The sequence below is a fragment of the Homo sapiens genome, chromosome 4, assembly GCF_000001405.40.
Source record: "Homo sapiens chromosome 4, GRCh38.p14 Primary Assembly".
Classification (NCBI taxonomy): domain Eukaryota; kingdom Metazoa; phylum Chordata; class Mammalia; order Primates; family Hominidae; genus Homo; species Homo sapiens.
Genome location: NC_000004.12, coordinates 37,367,693 through 37,392,927, shown reverse-complemented (window position 1 = coordinate 37,392,927; position 25,235 = coordinate 37,367,693). Strand labels below are relative to the sequence as shown.

At 39.1% G+C, this 25,235-nt stretch overlaps 1 protein-coding gene across 1 annotated transcript in view, besides 1 other annotated feature; it reads right to left on the bottom strand.

Annotated features, from left to right (window-relative positions):
- The window catches only part of NWD2 (NACHT and WD repeat domain containing 2), a 204,721-nt gene that overhangs the window by 56,536 nt on the left and 122,950 nt on the right, over positions 1 to 25,235 (bottom strand). The window lies entirely within an intron of this gene.
- Positions 2,876 to 2,925: an enhancer, noted in NCBI's record as "active region_21413". NCBI's record gives its function as "activates an Ori minimal core promoter by ATAC-STARR-seq in GM12878 lymphoblastoid cells {active_cell/tissue: GM12878}" and the evidence as "EXISTENCE:reporter gene assay evidence [ECO:0000049][PMID:35858748]".

Below are 25,235 nucleotides of genomic sequence, written 5' to 3'. Positions count from 1 at the left end.
TGAATGAGAGACTGCCATGGTCCTTGGAAATTCTCCAAAAGAGAGATCAGCTCCTCTAGTTTTAAGATGACTCTAGAAGGGTCAGAAAACTGGGACTGGTGGAGACAACGTTAAGGTGAATAAATTGCCAACTGCTGAGTCAGTCTTCACTCAGAGGCATTTATTGAGTGCCCTGCAGTGTGCAGAGCTCTGTAGGAGCAATTAGCAAGGGCCAAGCTCAAGCTAGCAAAATGAGTAACACAGTTCAGTGAGGTCCACTGCTGGTGACTCCCTGCCCACTCGCACTCATTTGATCCTAGTTTCGCTAACTGTACTCCAAAACATTCTTACATCATCTACACCAGTGATTCTCAATAGAGGTTGGAGGAGAATTTTGCTCCCCAGGAGACATTTTGGGCTGTCACAATCTGGGGTGGGGGCAGAGGGGTTAGTATTGGCATCTAGTGGGTAGACACCATGAGATGCTGCTAAATATCCTACAATGTGCACAGCAGCCCCCGCCGCAGAGAATTATCTGGCCTAAGGTGTCAGTATAGCTGAGGCTGGGAAACCCGGATCTAAATGGTCTGCTTTAAGCTATTCAATGATCATGTTTTATCATCCACGTTCTAGTCTTCAGTTTTGATGGGAGCGTATCAGGCTCAAGCCTCTGTACTACACTCTCAGGTGTACGGATTTAAGAGTTTGCTTTTACCTTTATTCATGTTTTAATTAATTATGTTTTTTTGAGATAGGGTCTCATTCTGTTGCCCAGGCTGGAGTGCAGTGGTGCGATCTCGGCTTACTGCAACCTCTGCCTCCCAGGTTCCAGCAATTCTCCCACCTCAGCCTCCCAAGTAGCTGGGATTACAGGTGCTCCACCACGCCCAGCTAATTTTTTTGTATTTTTAGTAGAGACAGGGTTTCACCATGTTGGCCAGGCTGGTCTCAAACTCCTGATCTCAAGTAATCGACCCTCCGCCTCCCAAAGTGCTGGGATGACAGGCATGAGCCACCGTGCCCAGCCCGTGTTTTAATTTATTAAACGAACATACTTAAGCTGATGAAGACATGTGCAGAATATAGTGATTCTTCATTATCTCTTAAATTTGGTAACAGCCTTTTATAGCTGGGGGAAGACAGCGGGGCAGGAGGGCACAGGACTTGTGGGGGCCGATGGGGTCACCCAGCGAGGTCTCCATGTCTCAGCTTCCTCATCTGGATGACGATGAGGATGGCTTTACCTGGAAGGTCTTTTGGGACTCTGACATTGTATCACTAAAAACTCCTAGTAAGAGAAACCCACATACCCATTTCACCCATGCATACATCTTGACCAAATATTTCTCTCTTTCCCCACATACCAGCATATCTTCTCAAAGATTCTCATTTTCCATGACAAAAGGTTTTTATTCTAATTTAAACAAGACAATTATTAACCTTATACCTTCAAGCCTTTACTTATCTCTAAATCCCTCCCTTTCTCCTCACTCAAAAAGCATCTTTTGGAAGCTTCCGCTGACCAAAATACACCCACTCCTTCCTCCAGTTCATGCATGAGCATTATCTGACCAGCTAGCTGCCTGCAGGCACGTCTACATGTAACACATATGATTATATTCTGGCTGATCTGTTCATGTCCTTTCTATCCTAAAAATCTATATGTGTTTTCTTTCTCAGCAGGTAATAGAGTTCTTGAGTATGATATGTCATTTAATTCATCATCCTTTACAAGCTGTGGAGTTTTTGATGAACAGCCGCAAGTGATTTCCTAGTTATTAGCAAGAGACAAGGAATCACCAACCCACAAACACATTTTCTGAGTGGAAAATAAACAGGTAAAATAATCGAACTGTACTCTGAGATGTAGGTGGTAAATGCACCCAAACTGGATGTTGGTGAAAAACAAAAAAATCAGTGAGGTAGATTGTGTTGAGACACAGAATCTAATTTTAATGAACTCTAAATGAACACTTAACAGATAAATTCTGCAACTTTATTGAAATATAAAAGCAAATTATAACTTGATTTGGTAAACAGACTAGACAGACATTAGATATTCTCCATTTTGTCTCCCTTTCCCTTTCTAAAAGTCTTCCAAAAATGAAATAAAATATTTACCGAACGTCTTCCAGGCTCCAAAATATCTGTCAAGGTCCTTCATGAAGCTTCTCTGCTAATTACAGTATGACTTTTGGCAAGTCATTTAAACTCTCTGGATCTCAGTTCTCTCATGCACAAAACTAAGAGAGTCGATCATCTCAAAGGTCTTTCCTGGCTCTAATTTTTGATGGATTTAAGGCAGTAAGTCTCAACCTCAGCTGCACAGATAATCGCCTGAGTAGGTTTTAAACATCATGATGCCCAGGTGACACTAGAGACCAAATAAATCAGAACCTCTGGAGGTGGGACAAAGCAATCGTATTTTCAAAGCTCCCCAGGTAATTCCAGTATTCATCCCTGATTTACTATAAACCAAATTTCTTAGACCAGTGACTTTCTGAATATTTTAAAAATAACTCACTGTCAAAAAAAAAAATTTCAGATTATGCCCAAGCACACACGTGAATATAGTTTAATATTTCAGTAAAATCATTTTATGAAATGTAGCCGTCAAATTTCATAAAACATTTTATATGCACTCTGATATTTTCTACTGCATTTTATTCATATGTATATGTACATATACTTAAAGTATGTACATATACTTAAAGTATATGTACATATACTTAAATTTCAGTATAAAAACACTGCCCTAGCCAATTTGGCCACTAGATGGAACTGTTGCATTTAAAGAATGAAAGTGCAACTTCAGACTGAACTCTACAGAGCAAAACTAAAACAAAATGCTTATGATTTGGCTGGGTGTGGTGGCTGACGCCTGTAATCCCAGCACCTTGGGAGGCTGAGGCGGGCGGATCACCTGAGGTCAAGAGTTTGAGACCAGCCTGGCCAACGATGGCCAACATGGTGAAACCCCATCTCTACCAGAAATACAAAAATTAGCCAGGCATGGTGGTGGGGACTGTAATCCCAGCTACTCGCGAGGCTGAAGCAGGAGAATCTCTTGAACCCGGGAGGTAGAGGTTGCAGTGAGCCGAGACTGTGCCACTGCACTCCAGCCTGGGTGACAGGGCAAGACTCCATTGTGTAAAAAAAAAAATGCGTATGATTTGATATTAATTTTACATCCAAAGTTATTTTATAAGAAAAGGAGCATAGCTGTTAGAAAAAATGTAAGTTATATTCACAGCAGCTGATGCTGATGAAGGGTGAGACTCCATCTGCGTTGGGTATTCACTCTGACCCCTTCACCACCGCCACTACCACCCGTGAGGCAGGCATTAGATTTCTCTTCCAGCTGAGGAAACTGAGCGCCAGAACGACTAACATGAAAAGCTCTCAGTCAACTGCAGCCATTGTCACTGTAGAGCCAGCAGAGGGGAAGGATGGATTCGAAAAGTGACAAAGAGGCAGAGGCAGAATTTAAGTCCAAAGGTGTTGGGCTCTTGCTTCTCGCTATGATAAACTGTAAAATATTGAAAGTTTGTAATATTGATACACTGATTTTTAAAAATATTAATACACATTAAACCTGTACAAAAGAGGAGAAGATTGGATTTTCTTTTTCCCCATGAATCCAGGCTTCAAAGTGGGTACATTCAAAGGAAAGGAGAATTATCAGCACTGTGGGGAGAAACAGAGTGGCCTGAGGCAGGGGCTCTGACGAGAGGCCCCTGGGGCCAAGGAATGAGCTTTGGTTTTATTCAAAGGGTTCCCAGCATGAATAGCACATGGCAGGGCTTTTGCATTGCTAACTCCTTTGCTTCATTCCTCCCTTTGGGCAAATGTCTTCTCAGAGGGGTGTTTCTTGATCATCTGTCATTGCAGCCCCAGCCTCCATCCCTTCTCATGGTTTTATTTTTTTCACCACCTTTTAGTATTAGCAGGCATTATGTTAAATTCCTTTTTATTTATCAACTCTCCATGTTTCTGGAACTAGGCGTAGACACCATCATAGAGGTTAAAAAGTCAGTAACCCATATCAGGAGCTGGAGGAGGGGCACGTGGGAGAGTTATTGCTTAACATGTACAGAGTGTCTGGGGTAATGGAAACGTTTTTGAACAACTGTTTTTGTGGTGATGGTTATGCAACATTGTGAATGTAATTAATGCCACTGACTTGTACTATGGTTAAAAATGGCAAATTTTATGATATATATATGATATATATATTTATATATCATATATTTATATATGATATATACGATATATATTTATATATGATATATATGATATATATATTTATATATGATATATAACATAAATATATATTTTCCACAATAGAAATATATATTTCCCACAATATAAAAATATATATTTTCCACAATAGAAGTAAAACTCACTTAAAGAAGTCAGTATCCAAAATTCAAACCAGCAGAGCAACTTAAAAACTACAGCTGTCGGCTAGGCGTGGTGGCTCACGCCTGTAATCCCAGCACTTTGGGATGCTGAGGTGGGCAGATCATCTGAGGTCAGGAGTTTGAGACCAGCCTGGCCAACATGGTGAAACCCCATCTCTACTAAAAGTACAAAAATTAGCCAGGCATGGTGGCTTATGCCTGTAGTCCTGGCTACTTGGGAGGCTGAGGCAGGAGGGTAGCTTGAACCTGGGAGGCGGAGGTTGCAGGGACCTGAGGTTGCACTATTGCACTCCAGTCTGGGCAACAGAGACTCTGTCTTAAAAAAACAAAACAAAACACTATGCTGACTCCTTACTATGTAGCAAGCACTTTACATCTATTAACTAAGTGAATCCTCATCGCAAGCCCATATGGTACAATTATTAATAATATCAATCAGATACTATTATTGCTCCCATTTTACAGATGAGGAAACTAAAGCACAGATTGGTTCAGCAAGTTGCCCAAGGTCATTCAGCTCATAAGTACCAGAGGTATGATTTGAACCTGGCACAAATCATTTAATAAATAGTTGTTATAAGAATAAATATTTCAAGGCCAAGGCAGGTGGATCACCTGAGGTCAGGAGCTCAAGACCAGCCTGGCCAACATGGTGAAACCCTATCTGTACAAAAATACAAAAATTAGCCAGGCATGATGGCGGGTGCCTGTAATCCCACCTACTCAGTAGGCTGAGGCGGGAGAATCGCTTGAACCTGGAAGACAGAGGTTGCAGTGAGCCAAGATCGCGCCATTGCACTCCAGCCTGGGTGACAGAGCGAGACTCTGTCTCAAAAAAAAAAAAAAAAAAAAAAGAATATTTCAAAGTGGTTACTCTGGCTGCTGGGTGGAGAGCAGGCTGCGGGGATGAGAGGAGCTATGAGGAATCTCTAGGGGAGGCTACAGTAGAGGGTGAAAGATGGTGAAGATACAGGACGTACAGACAAGCAGATGGCTCATATATATTTAAGAGAGGGTGAAAACATGATATGTTGATGGAGTTGATTGCAGGAATGAACCAGGAAGCTTAGATCTAAGATTGCCACATCCAATATGGTAGTCATTAGCCCCGAATGGCTACTAAGCATTTAAAATGTGGCTGGTTAAGAAATGAGATTATACTGTTGAGTATAAAATAATTCTGGATTTCAAAGACATTGCATGCAAAAGACTTAAAATATATCATTAAAAAAAATTGGTGTAGAAATGGCAATATTTTGGCTATGTTGGGTTAAATACATTATTAAATTAATTCCATTTGTTTTTAATTTTTTCTAGTAGTTTTCTAGTAGTCATATTTCAGGATGATATATGTGGCTCATCTTAATTTCCACTGGATGATGATGACCTAGGATAATGTCCTGGTTTATTGCTTGAATAATGTAGTTAACAGTGATTCATTTACCGAACTGATTGGTTAGGTTTGTTGGTCCATTCTGCATTGCTATCAAGGAATATCTGAAGCTGAGTAATTTATAAAGAGGTTTACTTGGCTCATAATTCTGCAGGCTGTACAAGAAGCATGGCACCAGCATCTGCTTCTGGTGAGGCTTCAGGGAGCTTTCAATTCTAGCAAAAGACGAAGAGGAAACAGACATGACACACGGAAAGAGAGGGACCGAGAGAGAGGAGGGAGGTTCCAATCTCTTTCACAACCAGATCTTGCGTGAATCCATTACTGTGGGAATGGTACCAACTCATTCATGAGAGACCCACCCCATGAACACCTCCCACTAGGTCCCACCTTCAATATTGGTGATCACATTTCACCATGAGATTTGGAGGGGACAAATATGCAAACTGTATAAGTAGGGAAAAAGCAGGTTTACAAACAAATATAATATAAAAAATTCTGCTCTGGACATACAGACTTTGAGATGCTTGTGAGACATCCAAGCAGATATAGGGAGCCCAGAGCTCAGAGCACAGGTCAGAGCTGGGACTGCATGTTCAGGGTGTGCAGTTGATCCTGAGTGCTAAGTTAGGATACAGGAGATCTTCTGGAAAGCCTGTATTTGCAGAGAGTACAGTAAGCACCCAGGACCTACCCTGGGACACTCCAACATTTAGGGCTTGGGTAGAAAAAGGATGCCAGAAAGTTCAGAAACCACACTACACTTCTATGTTCAATTTTCAAGCTAGGAAAAGACCTATAAATTCATGATGGTTTCATGTCAATTTAATTTTGTTTGGAATTTATGTGTGTGTGTGTGTGTGTACTGTAGTTTATTTCAATACACACTTAGGATTGCTTTTTTTATTCTTCTAGACAACATTAGCAGAGTTTAGCTGTAGAAATCCCTGGAAATCTTTCTTTATAGAGAAATAACAAAACTCAGTATGATGAACAAGTACCACAGATAAATCTCACAAAATCCCTAAATGTCCAAAATCAAGGGAATAAAGCCTCTTGAGCCCTCACATGACAACAGCTCTGTGGCAACCACCTTGGTAGTGTGATGTGCTGAGGAAAGGACACATTTTCAGAGATTTAAAAAACTTTAATCTCCAAATTAAGTATTTCTTTATAGTACTCTGTTTTAGACAACAAAGAATGGTAACATAGTTAAGAGCTCAAACTCTGTGGTCAGGTACATCTGAGCTAATGAATATACTTAGAATTCCTGGCATGTGCTGAGCACTTGGTAGACATTATTATCAATAATACCCCAAATCCATCCTTCCTCCCAGTTAATTTCTATCATACTATTAGGGATGTTTATATCATTAATAACATCTTGTCCAACCAGTTTCTGTGTTTCTCATCCTTGTTCTCATGAGGTAGCTTATGCTTTCCTGGTGGACATGGCCCCTCAGCCTGGTGTTAAGGTGGAACTTTTGTTGTGCTCCTGATGTTTCTATGTGAGGGGACCCTCACTGTAGTAACACTTTCCGGTTTTTCACCCCTATTCAATCAGTCCTCACACAGAATGATTCTTTGGAGGCTCTGGGAGATGAAATTAGGCATCTCTTTTTGGTATTTACCTGTGGGCAGAGAGAACGCTGCTCTGTTCCTCTTGAGCAGCAAGTTTCACAGGATCAGGACCCTTTGTGGGAGTCCAGTTATAGGAGGGTATGTCAGGGTGGTGAAATTTTAGCAAACCCACTTGCCTGATGATTTCCAACAGCTAGATTCACAGAAAAGATGATTTTTTAAGTTGTCACCTGTCCAACTCCTATGCTTCTCAGTTGGTTCAGAATTTAAGCAGGGGAAAGAAAGATGTAATATTTACTGATCCCCTAAATTCCCAATATCTGTTATTGGGAATTTGGAAAACCAAGAGTAGAGAGGCTTTTCCTGCAGTCAAGGCAGTTGGGGCTCTAGGGTCAGCTGGGATCGGTCATGTGTTTTAATCTTGGTAGCTGGCAGGTGTCTACATCACTCCATGAAGCTGGGTTCTACCACTGGCTTTTTAAGTTTTATTTTAAATTGACATAATAATTGTACATGGTTATGGGGTACAATATGATGTCTTGATACATATATACATTGTGTAATGATCAAATCAGGGTAATCAGCAACGTGTGCTAATTACCATTGGCTTCTAACTGGTGTGGCTGAGCAGAAGACTTCAGGCTTTAGCAAGTGTGGGCCCTTTAGGATTCCAACCCTGACTTAGGGTGGCTCTGTCCACAGATGAATGGCTATTTTTATGCAGGCAAGAAGATATTGGTATGTAGGTAGGGCTGTAGTTGCTAGCCTTGGAAAGCAGTCAGAATGGAGGCCAAAACATGGAAAGTTCTTTGGGGTAAAAGTCTTTTAGATGTATCTGGAGGCTGAATGACTTTGTGCTGCTGTTTCTCAGCTCTGCCTGTTGGCCAGAACTTGCAAGAGAAGACATAGCTGAGCTCCATGTGCACTGTGAACACCAGCAGTTCTAGCATTAAATGACTAGTACCAGGCCCAAGGAGGCAGCATTATTTTGGCTGTCTCAGAATCCATGAACTACCTTCAGGGACAAAAGAGAGAATATGGCTTTTTGTCATTATGTGGCTTGCCAAAGGCTCTGAAGAGTCACCTAGAAAAAGTATTATATATTCAAAATAAACAGAATATGCCATCTTCTTGGGTTGAGGTAGAGAACAACTCAATAAAATTATTACAAACCCAAGGGCTTATCCCTAGGAACCAGGGAATGAAGGAAGAACGCAAACGCTTTGAAGAATGTGCTGCAGTTTGACAATGGTATCAGGAGCAGTGGAAGATTGGAAACAAAATAAAGAAGGCAAACTGATTAAAAGCTAAAGAAAAGAAAGATTTTCCCTGAGGGAAAGGCTGACATCTTAGAAGACAGGCTAGATAGACATAAACTGTTTAAAAGCCAGAAGATGTGCCTAAGTCTGTCTGCTCCTAAAAAGGGAATCAGACGTGGGGAGGGAGAGCATCAGGATAAACAGCTAATGCATGTGAGGCTTAATACCTAGGTGATGGGTTGGTAGATGCAGCAAACCACCATGAGACATGTTTACCTATGTAACAGACCGGCACGTCCTGCAGGTTTTTATTTAACTATAAAAAAATTAAATAAAAAAATAAAAAGGGGTGAATAAGAAAAGTGGAGAGATCTTTAATCTGTTACTAGATCAGAAAGGGTGACCTGGGCCCAGTGAAAACCAAAGACAGAGGGCAGGATCTCAGAAAACAACTTGGAATTACTCCTCTAGAGGGCGCAAAAACCCAGAAAACTTTTGCAAACTTACTAAAAACGTTCAGAGTCCAAAGTAAGAGCCATGGGGCACTCTCATCCTGATGACTGGGTTAGTGTACAAAGCAGTTACCTATGTGGGCAGGTGTGATATGAAAAGGCTGCGGAAAGCAGCATATAACACTCAAAGAATTCCTAGGTGAGTTTTCAGGTGATAGAGCCAGCGTAGGGGGCATGCAGGTGTTTTCTATGCCCTGAGGGACTTGCTTGAGAAACCTACGAGATCAGAACTCAAAGAGAAGACACAGACAAGATGAGACATATTCTATGTGAACAGACAGGCCAATAATAGAGCAGTTCAGGTTTAGGTTCTCTGCTAATCTGATGGGAGAATATTACCCAGGTGGGATTCTCCAATCTAGAGAAAGGCACAATTTATTTGAAAAGTAGGCGTCTCTGGCATATCAAGAACATAATTTCATTATTTTTCACCACAGGAAAGCCCACATGATGAAATCTAAAGAGATATCTTAGAAAATCAAATTGTTTTGGCTGTAAATCAAAGGGGGAGAGGGAGAAAGCCCTCAAATTTAGTAAACAGGGCTAGTCCCATATGTGTTAGATAAGGGAAGAAACCAAGTTAAGGTTAAATTGTCAGAAATTCTCGGGTCTTCCTAAAAGACTGCTACTGCAGAGAAAGATTACACAGAGAAATGCACCTTAGGCTTCAAATAATCAAAGTCTGAGGGAAGATAAGTGTTTTAAGGAGAACACAGCAGAAGAAATGGTTGTCAGCAGGCTCTTGAGACAACAACAGCACTTTCAGCTCAGGAGTTTTTTTCAGGCGGCCGGGTGCGGTGGCTTACATCAGTAACCCCACCACTTTGGGAGGTCAAGGTGGGTGGATTGCCTGAGCTTAGGAGTTCAAGACCAGCCTTGGCAACATGGTGAAACCCCATCTCCACTAAAAAAAATCCAAAAATTAGCCAGGCCTGGTGGTGTGCGCCTGTAATCCCAGCTACTCGGGAGGCTGAGGCACAAGAATTGCTTGAACCTGGTGAGTGGAGGCTGCAGTGAGCCGTGATCACGCCATTGCACTCCAGCCTGGGTGACAGAGCCAGAGCCTGCCTCAATAAATAAATAAATAAATATATAAAAAATAAAAATAAAATTTCAGGAAATTCTCCAGCTGGAACAAATTTGTTGATTCAGTGAAAATCATTCCTCACTGCAGCATTGGGAGGCTAGAAACCCGGGCTCACAGGGGAAAAGGGGAGAGAGAAGTGTGGAACATTACCACTGAGGAAACTCTCAAATAAAATTTGATGCTGAGGTTGCCACCATTCCAAATGTCGAAATTTGCAAGGCAGGAATGTGTCAATGTCATGTCTTGTGATGGAAGACAGTACACCTAGGGAAAAACATCCTCCTTAATATGGTAAACAGAGGGCCAAAATCAATCTCTTGATGGCAGCATTCTCTTAAATAAATCTAGGTTCACTGGAGTGCAGGTGTAGTGAACCTAAATAATCTAGGTTCACTGGTGTGCAGGCGCAGACCCACTGACATCCTGGCAAGGTGGAAACCGGGACTTTCCTGATCTCTGTCTTTCACTTGCTACCCCTGAAATCTCTGCTGTGGTTTTTGGCAACACAAAGTGTGGATTTGCGAAATACAAGTATGCCTGGACTAACTTCTTTAGGGCCTTGGGCTAACTTGTTTTCTACATTTCATGGGTGTTTGCTGTGTTTTCTTCTCTCTTGAGAAATGTAAAATTTTATTTGTGAGATGCTGGAGCAGTGACACGCATCCAGGAGAGGACAGTCCAAGCTTGCCCACAGTGTCACGAATGTCTCTGAATTAGACTGAACAGATAAAATATTCAGATCAATTTTGAAATTTAAAAAAATGTTATCCCACAAAAGCAAGAGAATTTTCTCTTCAACATCAATTCTTTTGAAATGTGACTTAACTACTTCATAGTTGAATTCTTTGGAACATTGATTTTTAAACTTTAATTTCTCCCTTTGTAATGAGATTTATATTCAAATATAGAACTGTTTATAGTATTTTCATTTCACTTCTGCAACAGATGGGCTGTCATTTCAGCTTGGTACAGAACCTCTGAAGTTGGAAATGTGGTTACAGGTAAATGGGGATGGGAAATAGAATACAGATTGACTTTAGATGCAGAGTAGCTTTGGTATTAATTTCATAATTGTGTATTTCTGTCCTGTTTGGAGCTTTCAGAGGATAAAATAAACACAGCCAAGGGAGGATGCCCAAAGCAGCAGTAGTGGGCTCTGAGGGAGCGGCCTCATGGAGTTGGAGGTAGTCCTGCCCTGACAGATGTTAATCTCCTCGCACTCCAGGTGGCAGCCATACAGAGGGATAACCCAGAGTCTCAGTGGCTGATCCCAGTGACGCTGAGAGAAGACAAACCTGGGGATGTTAAATGGGATTCGATATCCCACTCCAGGTGTTTCTATTTGGAGGAGCTCCATTAGATTAACACCCGGGGCTCTTCTCCACCTTCACTCACTCCACCCAGGAGAGCAGGAGTCACTGATGGTGACGTGGGAAGAGGAAGTGGGATATGAGTGACTCGGCCCTCTCTACCTCACTCTGGGCTCTGTCTGCTCAAATCCATGCTAGCTGTGCTGGAATTCAGCTCAAATCCTCCACAGGGCACATTTCAGGCTTCTTGGGGTGGGGCTAGGGCTTGGGGGGAGGCTTGACGTGTTAGGATCACCAGTGGGTGGTTCATTCTGTCTCTTGAAAGATTATTTTGCTCGACATTAGGATCTAAGTCATTTCCTTCAATAGCTTTATCATAAAAAAGGTGAGATTTTAATCTCCATCTACCTGATTCCTGCAACCACCTTTCAACTGGTTCTGAATTTAAGCAGGAGAAAGAAGAGCATTTCCTGATTGGCTAAGTCCCTAACTCTTGGGCTCCATCAAGACTGGGGGGAACGTTTATCTTAAATAGTTTGTCAGAATCAATACAGAATGTGGATGAAGCCTCCGAATTCCACCTGCCTGCTCACATTCTAGCTTCATCACTTGCTAGCTGTGAGTACTTAAGAAATTAAAAACACCTCTCAAAATAGCATTTGTAATATGAAAATAATGTAGTACTTACTTCACAGAAGTTTTGGTGAAACAAAATGAGATAATGTAGACTATTCATGAAATCCACTTTTTTTTTGGCTTGTGATTCCTTAGCATATAGTTCCTAATAATAACCATAGCTAGCATTTATTTAAGGCATACTATGGGTAAGACCCTGTGCTAAGCAACATAAACACAATATCCTATTTGATCTTCATAAAAATTGTATAGTAAGTTTTAATATTATTCAAACTTTATAAATGAAGGAATTAAAGCCTAGAGGGAGAAAAACATTTGTCCAAGGTCACACATTATATGATAGAACAGATATGTAAATACTGATGGTCTGATTTCAGAGTCCGTACTCTTAAACAGTCTCCCCCAAAATAACATCTGCCATTTATTGACTGTCTACTGCAGCACACATTAGGAGCTGTGTCTCATGTAATTTCCCCAATCCTAGGTAGGTTAAGAGTCCGGACTTTATCGTCAAACAGATGTGGTTTTGAATTCCAACTACAATTTTCTAGCCTAGTAGCCCTGGAGAAGTTAATCTGAACGTTTATTTTTCATCTGTAAATTGGTATAACAATACCTGCAACTCACAGGGTTGCTGTAAGGATTACGTGAGAAAATGCTTAGTGCTTGACTCACTAGAAGCAATCAATGAAATGCATTAATTCTTATTCTTATTTTAGAGATGAACATAGAACAAGTGGCGGAGCCAAGTTCAAATGCTTCTTGCCTTTACTTTTCGGTTGTTTCCAGTAATTTCTGCTCTTTCCAGTGCTAATATATGTAATATATATATATCTGAAAGATAACACGGGGTAAAGCAGTGGGCTTCCAGTTGTATTCTATGGAGCCATTTAGGGCCTCTGCGGGTGGGATGGAAATAGGTACAGGTAGGAGAGAAGTCCAAGTGCCCATCTGTCCCCTACTAAGAACAGTTACACCTTCATTTGTAACAGAGTTTGATGCAGTTTTTATTTAATGAAAGTGTTCCTTGGCAAAACAAAAACAAAACCTCCCTGAGAGCCACAGGCTTGCAGTCAGGAGGCCTCGGGTTGGGACTACTTCATCATCTACTCATGTACGGTCTGGGTTAGTTCTGCTCCACAATTCCGTGTCTCAGTGAACCCACACCAACAAAAAGCATTATAAAATCTGAATACCTCCTGGAGGTATTTAGAGGATTAAATAATAAAACATATGTCATGTGCTTTTTGAAATACAAAAGCATGACACAAAAGGGAATGTACCCTGAAACTAGGCTATTAGGGTTTGAATTCCGGCTCCCCACTTACTGTGTGGCTCTGGGAAAGTTACTCAACCTCTCTGTGTCTCTGTTTGTTCTGTGAAGTGCAGACAACAGTACTATCCTCATCATTCTGTTGGACGGACTAAATGGCTTAAGTCCTTCCAACAGAATTATGTTGGATGTGTTTGCTACATTTATTCTTAGTCTTAGATTTGACCGACTACATTGGCTCTGACCATCACAATTCTTCCTGTGAAAAGCCTGCAAAACAGACCAGAAAGTGTTATCCTTAGGTATAAAAACCACTGGATAAATTTATGAACCCTGTCATGTGGTTTTCCACTGAATTACCAGACCACTAGAATGAAAGATTTTTGGGGGAGTTGAGTGGGGTAAGTGAGGAGTCCAGATTATCAAGGATTTGGCAAGTTTCAGATTTCCTTTCCACAATTAGCTTGAAAGTTGAGTTACAAAATGTGAACTGCAATTGTAAGTAGCTTTATAACCTTAACACAAATGAATACGAGCAATTCCATTAGTTTTATAGTTTCTACTTGTAAAACTATCAAAACAAATGTTTGTTCCCAAAGCAGCTTTAAAACAACAAATAAATCCTTGTGAATTTCAGCAAAAAGCCTAATTCTTTAAACTTCTCCATTTTTAAAGAAATCTGTTGTTGAGCCCAGCATTACAGAAAAAGCCTAATTTTTTATTTTTATGATTTACAAAATTACATTTAGAAGGACACATGGAGTGTATAAAAATAAACACTTTCACAAGAGTCACCAAATGACAAGTTCTTCTGGCTCAAAGGTCACTCAAATTAAGAAAAAAAATAAAAAACAAACCATTCAGGGAAACAAGGCAAAACACAAGTGCCAGCAGAATGGTGATTGTGTAACAAGTTGGGGAATTGTCCTAAGATCCTGGCAAAATTAGGTTAGAATTTGGCTGGCATTTGCCATTGTTACATGGGAAAATGGACTTCCTTCCGTTCTTGGAATTGTGGTCCACCATCCAAAATGGACAACAACTGACACCCTGTCACAATGTTCACTTTCTTAACCAAAAGTTTCTAATACTATGATTTTGGGGGGACTGTTTTTCATTTTCTCTTCGAGGAAGCTTAGATAATAAAATTGAACTTAAACTCGTCCATAAAGATGACTGTCATATTTATTTCAATTCAGACATCAATATAGGAGAGCAGAATAATGTTTTCCAAATCAAAGCCAGTTAATATTTTGTGAAGTGGTTGTTGGCAGGGACGTGGAGCAGACACAGGAACATAAGTTCGGGAGGGTGGGATATAGGTGGATGAAGGGCATAGAGAACCATAGAATATTTTCTTAATCATAATCAAAGTTAGGCTTAGAAATCCATTTTTTAATTATAAGAAGTTCTAACCTAAAATGTTTAATGATTAATTTTTAATTGAAAAATAATAATTGTATACAATTACAGGGTACAACGTACTGTTTTGCTATGTTTACAATGTAGAATGATTAAATGAGGCTAATTAAAAAAATCCATCACTTCACATACTATTTTTTTTGTGGTGAAACATTTAAAAAATGTTTTAAAGTTATTTTAAGTTATTTAAACTTATTAAACTTCTAATACATTTAAATTAAACATATACTTTTAAGTTATTCAAACTTATTTTAAATTATTAACTATTTTAAATTATTTTATTTTGAAGATGTCTTTCCTCCTGAACTTTTCTTTTTTTTGAGATGGAGTTTCACTCTTGTTGCCCAGGCTGGAGTGCAACGGCGTGATCTCGGCTCACCGCAACCTCCGCCTCCTGGGTTCAAGCGATTCTGCCTCAGCCTCCTGAGTAGCTAGGATTACAGGCATGTGCCACCACGCCTGTCTAATTTTTTTGTATTTTTAGTAGAGACGGGGTTTCTCCATGTTGGTCAGGCTGGTCTCAAACTCCCAACCTCAGGTGATCCACCAACCTTGGCCTCCCAAAGTGCTGGGATTACAGGTGTGAGCCACCACGCCCAGTCTCCTGAACTTTTATAACAACTTTGGTCTGACAGTGAAAATAATAAGAAAAAAATTACGTGGACATTTGCAGGTCTTCATAAAACCTTATGAGTGAATTTAATTTTTTGTTTTACTAAGCTAAACATTGAGTTATATTTTCAAAAAAAATTATCTTCTCTTTCATTGGAAAGAGAAGGAAGGAAGTGAGCACTTAATTTGCTGAGGCAATGCTGTGGGGTTGCTACATTTTTGCTCATCAAATCACATGGTGATTGGAGTGGTCCCTACTCTTGCATCTGCCATTGAGTTTGGTCTATATGTCACTGGCCTATAATTGAGTCTGTCCTAAAGAAAGTGGTCAGCAAACAGTTTAATCTCTAAAAGCTGCCTTTGAGAACCCAAATTTGAGTATTTCTAAGAATTCTGCAATAGGAAAATGATAAAATGTTTCAGAGGCTAGATGGAATCATGACATCTCATATCACAAAATGTTCTTTGAATTTGAGTAATTTTACACTCAGCCCAATACAGTAGATATGTATTCCTGATACATGAGGCTTTATGCTAGGTACTTGGGACAAAGGACAAAGATAAAAATTCCTCCTGAGAATTCACAATATATTGTGGGAGAATAATAAGGTCATGCAAAACTCTAATATAAGCATAAATAGAGGTCCATGTGACTGACATGAAAGCGTGGACCAATATTTTTAAAAGTCACCATGTTTTAGGCTATTTGTACACTAAACACTTTGCATATATTAATACTGACAATAAACATGAAGTATTAATATCAAGTAGTATTATCAATAAAGATGAGGAAATGGAGATTCAATGAGATTAAGGTTTGTAGGATCAGGATTAACCGAGATTTCTAGGAATGGCTGAAACTTTCCATGTCAGCCTTTGAGAACAATATGTCTAATATAACCATGTTCCACCTCCTACAAGCTGGAAGCATTCATCTTGCTCTAGAGCCTCTGACAAAAAAAGAGAGTCTGTGTTCTTAACCATTAGCTCTGTTGCTTTCTCTGAGGCAGGAATTAATAAAAAATTCCAATGGCTGATACATATATAAAAATATTTTTAAGTGTTATTGGTAGCCAAACAATGTGAAATAAATATGATATCCCTTCTTTCACCTATCTAATTTAATTTACAAGTGTTTTAAGTAGTGACACTATTCAGAGCTGATAATGTTGCTATGAGATGGACATTCTCATTTTCTCTGAGTAGAAACACATATTGCAAAATCCTTCCAGAAAACAAGTAGAGAATCAAGATGGTTCACAAGTATTCATAACTTTGACCTAGTAATTCTGCATCTTAGAGTTTACCTTCACAGAAAATATTAGGCAGTTTGATTTATATGAAAATGTTAAATTCATCAATATTTGTAATAAACACTTGATAATGACCTTCATGTCTAAAAAAAGGGAATGTTTAAATACATAACAGTTCATTCATTTGCTAGAATATCATACACTTATTAAAATCACGATTTCAAAGCATATTATCATTGGAAAATACTTTATGATAAAATACTGGAAACAAGTTCTCTAAAGCCACAGTATAATGCAATGGTTTAAAAGTGAATTCCAGAGGCCAGGCGCGGTGGCTCACGCCTGTAATCCCAGCACTTTGGGAGGCCGAGGCGGGTGGATCACAAGGTCAGGAGATCGAGACCATCCTGGCTAACACGGTGAAACCCCGTCTCTACTAAAAATACATAAATTAGCCAGGCATGGTGGCAGGGACCTGTAGTCCTAACTACTCGGGAGGCTGAGGCAGGAGAATGGTGTGAACCCGGGAGGCGGAGCTTGCAGTGAGCCGAGATCGCCCCACTGCACTCCAGCCTGGGTGACAGAGCCAGACTCCGTCTCGGAAAAAAAAAAAAAAAAAAGTGAATTCCAGAATAAGACCTCCTAAGTTTATACCTCACCTGTGACTGCTTGCTTGGCAACCTTGGGCAAGTTAATCTTTCTATGTGTCAGTCTCTTCATCAGGAAAAAAGAGGTTACAACAATAATGCCTATGGCAGAAGATTCTTAATGAAATTAAATAAAAACATATAGATAAGCACTTAGCACGGGGTCTGGCATATTTAAAATATTAGTTAAAATATTAATGGTGATAATTTTTGAATGATGAGATTATAGGCAATTGTTATATATTCTTTATAATCACTTGCACGTCCAAATTCCTTTCAATAAACATTAATTTGACACTAGGCATGACTATAAAGATTACAAAGTTGGTTATATCGGTTTGGGAGTCAGGGTTATGCTAGTTTAAAAAATGAGTAAGAGAACTTTTACACCTTTGCCTATCTTCACAATGGAACAATTTATTTGGCCATGGGAATACATTCTTTGAAAGCACAGAAGATTACACAGGTAGAACCACCTTGCCCATGTTTTGGAAGCAAAAGGAAGCTCATTTTCAGAAGTTATGCTGTGATCAATTTTGTTTGATGAATTTGGTTACAACTTTGTTACCAATTTATCCAGATTTTCTTGAAGCTACTTTGGTAATTAACATATCTCAGAAAAGCATTCATATCATTCAGTTGAGAAACTCTCAGCACAGAGTTTTACAGAGTATTTTCTCATAATTTAAAAAGTTTTCTTACTTGTAATGTTTATAAAATACTATATATGTAGCTTAGATGCATGCAGTCAGTGCTAAGTATTAGTATTGTTGCTGTTATTATTTCTATATCTGTGGCTAAATAACCTTATTCCTAATTTGCTTGTATATATTTCCATTAGATTCATCAAAACTTTGTTTTTGCTAGTAACAATCATTTGTCCAGACTTTTCTTCCAATTATTTTTGCTTTTGACCTTGATGTTTTCCTGTCTTCCCTGAAAATACCTGTAATTCTAGGATTAGATTTCCATTCTCTGTTGTCTCATTCCTTTTTCCATATCTTTCTGCATACCAAGAAACCATCTCATGTATATTTGTGTATTATCTGCATCACTGACCTGATTTTTATCGTGTTAGTTCTATTCTTTGTCTTCCCTGCAATCCACCTGTATTAGTCTGTTTTGCATTGCTATAAATGAATACCCGAGGCTAAGTAATTTGTAAAGAGGGCTTTTTTTGGCTCCTTGTTCTGCAGGCTGTACAACAAGCATGGCATCAGCATCTGCTTCTGGTCAGGACCTCAGGAAGCTTTTACTCATGGTGGAAGACAAAAGGGGAGCAGGTGTGTCATCACATGGAGACAGAGGGAGCAACAGAGGAGGAGGAGGTGCCAGGCTCTTTAAATCAGCTCTCACATGAACTAATAGGGCAAGAACTCACTGATTACTATGGGGAAAGCCCCAAGCCATTCATGAGGGATCTGCTCCCCTGACCCAAACACTTCCCACTGGGCCCCATCTCCAATACTGGGGATCACATTTCAACAGGATTCAGAGGGGACAAACATCCAAACTATATCACCACCCATCCCTACCATCTAGCTGTCTTTGTATATTGGTCTATTCTCTATGCACGGTTTTCAGTCTCGAGTCCTCTGCATGCTACTGAGATACCAACATGTTTTCTAAAGTGTTTTGTTTCTGATGGCAAACCATTTTCAGATACATTACCTTCTTAGTGCACCTTTCTTTATCTGTAAAACATTTTCTAAAAGTTTTCAAAATCCAAACTTGATGTTTGTAATATACAGGACGTCTGGCTTGCCCTTTTGTCCTGATCTCTGACCATTTAGTTGTTGGTCAGCTCTTCTTCTCCATCTGTTGCTGGAGAACAAATTGATGTCCTTTCACCTAATTCAGAAAGCAGCATCTAATAGATATTTAGTAGATTGAATTGGGTCTTCTACTCATCACTGTTGCTAATTTTCTAAACATTTCCAGTGATGAGGCATATGAATATTTAGAATTCCCATAATGCAGTGCTATTAAGGTATTACAAACCAGTAATGGGTTATCAGTAATACCCAAGCCAAGTTACAATAAGCTACCAAACCTCTATTACATTCCTTGTTTATGGTGATCCGCAGCCCTTGAATTTGTACTGATTGAGCTTTGACAACCCTTTTAGAAAGCTGTACATATACAGCAATGAACAGCTGCCTGGTGTCCTTCTTGATACTGGTCTGGATATTTAGGCAAAGGGTGGGTAATGGTAATGAAGTTAGAATGAAGCATCTCTTATCAAGTGGCAAGGAAAATATTAGAAAGAGAGTAGTTATGACCATGAACCTCACAGTCAGTGTGCCTGGCTTGAAATCCTAGTTGAGTGCCTGTTTCCTTATCTGCGAAATGGGACTAATATTAGCACCTACCTTATTAGTGCTGTTGTGAGGTTACATGAATTACTATATGCAAAATGCAGAATAGCACCTGGCACATGCATAATGCAAAGTAAATGTTTGCTATTATTGTCCACAGTTTGTGAATCTTATTTTAACTCCATATATCTTAAAAATAGCTGAATTTCCTCCTTGATTTAGTCTTGATTTTAGCATTGTGAATTTTCTTTGCGTTGTATCTTCACAGTTCAATACGAAGCTGGGAGAAGCAATACTGCATAGGACAGTCAGAGGGCATTCAAAATATAAGTCTGTATCCTTTAATTTACTTTCTCCCCAAGGATTAGAGAGATAATAGCTTTTATAGGAGACTAAGAAAAATGAACTAATAATTCCTACAAATGAACAGAGCTTTCTATGCTGCACAGCACACTGGCACATAGGTGTGACTTAAGATACGCGGCAGTAGATCTGGGAACCAAAGGGAAAGAATGACAAACATGGATTGGAACTGGGGGAAGGATGGAAGTCAAGAATGCTATCCTTTGACCTTGATATATATGAAAACAAATCATATTAAAACGTTGAGTTACTAGTAGCGGCCAATATTCCAAATGGAATTTGAGACCCGTTGGTCCAGATAACTTGTAGTTTGACATGAACATATCTGCATTCAGGGAAAACAAAAGCTGAGTGAAGACAAATTGAAAAGCAACAGTATAGAGTAATTAATACGTAAATTCTAGCCCCAGCCTACCTGGGTTCATGCCTTACATCGCTCCTTACTATACTAGCTGTGTGTCCTGGCAAGAATCAGAAATCTTTTATTCTTTTTCAGTTATTACCTCATTTGTACCATGGTTATAACAGTAGTAACTTTCTCATAAATTACTAGGAAGAATAAATGAATGAATCCACATAAAGTACTCAGAATACAGCTTAATTATTCCATTTATGTTTTATATATTTATATAGATCCTTAACTCACCAAGTGTAAGAAGTCAGCCATTCAAAAAATAAGTGTGTTTAGTTTTAATATAGTGTTGAGGTAGAGACAAGTAAAATGAAATACAAATAAAAAGGTACTTAAATGTACAATAATTATTCAAAAAATTGATTTTATCTAACAATGATTTAAAGATTCCATCATAGCATATTTTCAACATACTATATAAAAATGATACTAATTGCCTTATTTAAATACACCATATTTCAAGAAACAGAAATGACTTCTTGATCTCCTAAAATTTATTTGCATTCCCTTTTTCACACTTTAGGAGTGTTTATACCATGAATACAGCTCTGCTTCACTCTAGAAAAAAATGTTAAAATATAAAAAGTTTGCCATTGTAAAGTTCATTTCTTGCATTAGAAAACTTTTAGGGAAAAGCGTTCTGCATTGCAGGGCAAAATTAGATAGAGCCTGAATACATATTTTAACATTTTCTCCAGGGAAATAAAAAAAGTAGAAGACACTAAGTTCAGTCCATTGGTCTGTGATATCAAAAAAGAGAATTGGGTGAAACACTTGGTTCCCTCAGGTAAATAAAAGCCAATTGTGTCAACAATAATTATTGATTACACATGATGAAGTAAGAACAAGGAAGCCTCTTGCCTCAATTTCCTAAGAAACTTCAACATATTTAATTCAAATAAGAGCAAAGTCATTTTCATATCACTGCTAAAAATTAGCAGGCACAGCTTTGTTTTCTGAACTTTACTGAAGAAACTGTTTAATAGATTTAGCCATCTAGTAAAAGCAAATTAGAAAACTGGTTATGATTAATAAGAAAGATGTACTTATTGCTTAACATATTGAACTTCTGGCTGGGTGTGGTGGCTCATGCCTGTAATCCCAGCACTTTGGGAGGCCAAGGAGGGCAGATCACCTGAGGTCAGGAGTTCGAGACCAGCCTGGCCAACATGGTGAACCCTGTCTCTACTAAAAATACAAAATTAGCTGGGCGTGGTGGTGCACACCTGTAGTCCCAGGTACTTGGGAGGTGGAGGCAGGGGAATTGCTTGAACACAGGAGGCAGAGATGGCAGTGAGCCGAGATTGCACCACTGCCCTCCAGCCTGGGCGACAGACTGAGAATCTGTCTCAAAAAAAAAAAAAAAAAGAAAAAGAAAAAAAAATTGAACTTCTTTGGCAAATAATTTGCCTTCTGTAAGTTTAACCTCCTGGTTTACTCCAGATTGGTTTAATGTGTGGGTGTATGTAAGCAGGTGTGGCGGTCTGTGTGGGGGTACCAAGTCCCTAGATGTGCTTATACTGTATAAGCTCCCACATTAAAGACAGACTAAAAAGCCAACACCAACCAAATTTAGTCTGTAGGCTTGTTCTTTTCAGATAAGCAACAAAATGAGGCAAAATTAAGGCTAGCATTAATATTTTATAATCAACCTTTAGCCTCATCATTCCTCCTGTCTTGAAGAAATGAGGTACAGAGATAGATATGACAACTAATCTAGATTCTTTAAAAGCGTATCTCATCTGATAAATTTTGGAGAAAGTTGAGTCCAGTACTTCACTGAGACTGCTATAGGCAATAAAGATACAATTGCTTCCCTGCTGTTGGTTAATCAGGGTCACCTCCATATTTATAACTGATTCAAGCCGGAGACCAATTAACATCCATTTTCACAGGAACATCATTCAAACCCTCTTCCAAATGCTTACTCAGCTCCTTATTCCAAGGCTCAGTAAAAATCCACAAACATGCTCCCATTTTGGGGCAAGAAAATAATTTTACTCTTAAGGGAATGTACAGCGGTCAATCCATTTGTGTAAAGGGATAAATTTTAAGTTATATATAATATTGCTGGTGGCATATAAATATTCTAGTCCAGAAATATTAATCTTAACTATAGGTTTGGAAATCCTTAAATACTCATTACTAAAAATACATATTTTTGTATAACAATAGGCAAGTGTAAATGCTGAACTAAGCAGAAATAAGCAGAAATTCCCTATTCTCCAGTCAAAATTAAACAGTTAAAACTATTATTTCTTCCATAATCAGAGATATCATGCGTAAACAAGATAAAAATAATATATTTAAGTTGTCTCAAATTATTTGGTTCAGATCTGCAGAATAGTTGTGCAGGTAGTTTCCCAACTGTGGCAAAACTGGAAAGGAGTGAGGAGCAGTAATAATCCTACAATTCCATCTGCACATCCCGCACAGATGCTAAAGAACAGAACAGAAAGGAGTGAGGAACCTCTTGGTGCTTTGGGAGCTGCCATGTACAGCTGAGAATACAGAAAGGGCCATACAATGGAGAAGTCCCACAAAGCCATCCCATATCTGTGCATATTTCCAAACTGGGAAGAGAAGACCTGCTTTGACTGCCCACGTTCAGCCATTCTGTGCATATTTCCAAGCAGGGAAGAGAATATTTGACCTCCACTTTCAGTATTTCCTGTGCGCATTTGCAAGTTGGGAAGAAAATACCTACTTTGACCCCCCCTCTACCTTTTGCATTTTCTTTGCATTTGACCTATTACATCACATATTTAGAAAATTACTCCTTCCTTGATTGTTTAAAGGAGGAGAGTGAAAACCAATACAGGGAATGTTCATCGAATTTTGATGGTCCACACTGATTTTATGATTCAACTTGTTCTTTATTCACTCTTGGTTACCAATTTTACTCTCCTCTCATACCACCTAAGATGGAAAAGAATTATACAAAACCCTCATGTAAGCCAAATACCACATGTTCTCACTTATAAATGAGAGCTAAATAATGTTTATCCATGGACATAGAGACAGGGAAGTGGGGGAGAAGGGTGAGGGATGAGGAATTATTTAATGAGTACACTATTCAGGTGATGGTCACATTAAAATCCCAGACTTCACCATTAGGCAGTATATCCATGTAACAAAACTGCACTTATATACCTTAAATTCATTAAAAAAAACCTCAAACAGATTGTAAGAAACAGAAAATATTATTCATTCTGTCTGATTAATACATATTTTATTTCACCAAATAATTACCTTTCATAAATTTTGGATCATAAGTTTCTCCATAACATGTGTTTCAGTGTGTATATTTAAGTATCTATAATGGTGTGATGGAAGGAAGAGCTAATAATCTGGGCATCAGCAGGTGACTAAGGTGACTTAGACTCATCCTTCTCCCTCAGCCCTCAAACAGTCAACAACTTCTTACCAATTCTGTCTCTGAAGTATCTCTAATCTATGCCCACCTTTCTATTTCACCCCCTTAGCTCATCAGGGTATCTTTCATCTGGATCATGACATTAGCTAGGTTGCTAGTTAGGTCTCTTGTTTCTAGCCTCTTGAACTCACTGCCTTTAGTTACAAATCTCAACAGGATGTCCTCCTCACTGCTAACAAGCTTAAGCGGAAATTTAACTTAGAAGGTCTGGCCTCAAATTACATTTTTTGCCTCATGTTCCATAATGCCCTGTCACTAACCCTATATTCTACCTTCATCCAGGAACTGCTGGTCTCTGGACAATCAAAGTACCCTCACCTCTCCTGCCCTAGATTTAGAGATGGAAAGCTCTTAGTCCTTCCAGCTCTTAGTGATTCCTTTTGTGACACACAGAATCAGAACAAACCAGTTTCCCCATTTTGCTTCCATAGCAGCTAACTAATATTATATTATCTCACTTATCAAACAGTATCATATTTAGCCGCACGCACACCTCTTTCTGTTTAAGTGGGTGCTTAAGAGGTCAAGGGTAGTATATGACTTACCATTAGCTCACAGAACTTAGCACAGTTTTACATATGATAGGCACTATAGAAACTTGCTTGTTGTGTTTTATTGGACAACAATGGAAAATACACATTCCTAGAAGCATTTTGAGACTTTAGGTTCGTTGGATATAGCAGATCTGGACCTTGCATCGTAATTAGATGCTAGGTAAGTGCAAGGGGAGAAAAATTAAGAAATCTTTGTTTTTACAATTTGCACTTATGGCATTTTCAAGTGCAGGTTTTGGCAGCTTAGAGTTTCTCAGTCCAGGGAAATTAGATGAAAAAGTCCAAGTTTTGGCTGAAGCAATCTTACTAAAGCCTGCGGCAACACAGCTTCCTTCCCTACCAGAGAGAAGTATATCACACACTAGGCTAGCGATTATGTTATCTGAGTCATTCAACTGTATATGAGAAAATGCCACCAAGAAAACTGGAACAGGACCTTATAGTTCAATCCCTCTACTTCGGTAGATAAAGAACAGACAGGGAGAAAAGGACTTGGGTTCTAGACTTCATTATAGCTTCCAGTTAAACCATTTAGGGTCTGCTGGTAGGAAGAATGTTGGCTTTGGATTAAAGAGACTTAGACTGAAATCCTGGCTCTTATCCCTTACTAGTTAGACATCAGGCAAATTGCAGAAATCACCTAAGTCTCAGCATCCTCACTGATAGAGACGGAGAAATAACAGCCCCATGGGTTGGTATGAGAAAAAGAGGAAACGTGTTCAACACAATATCTACTGTATTTTACACATTCAGAAAATAAAAAT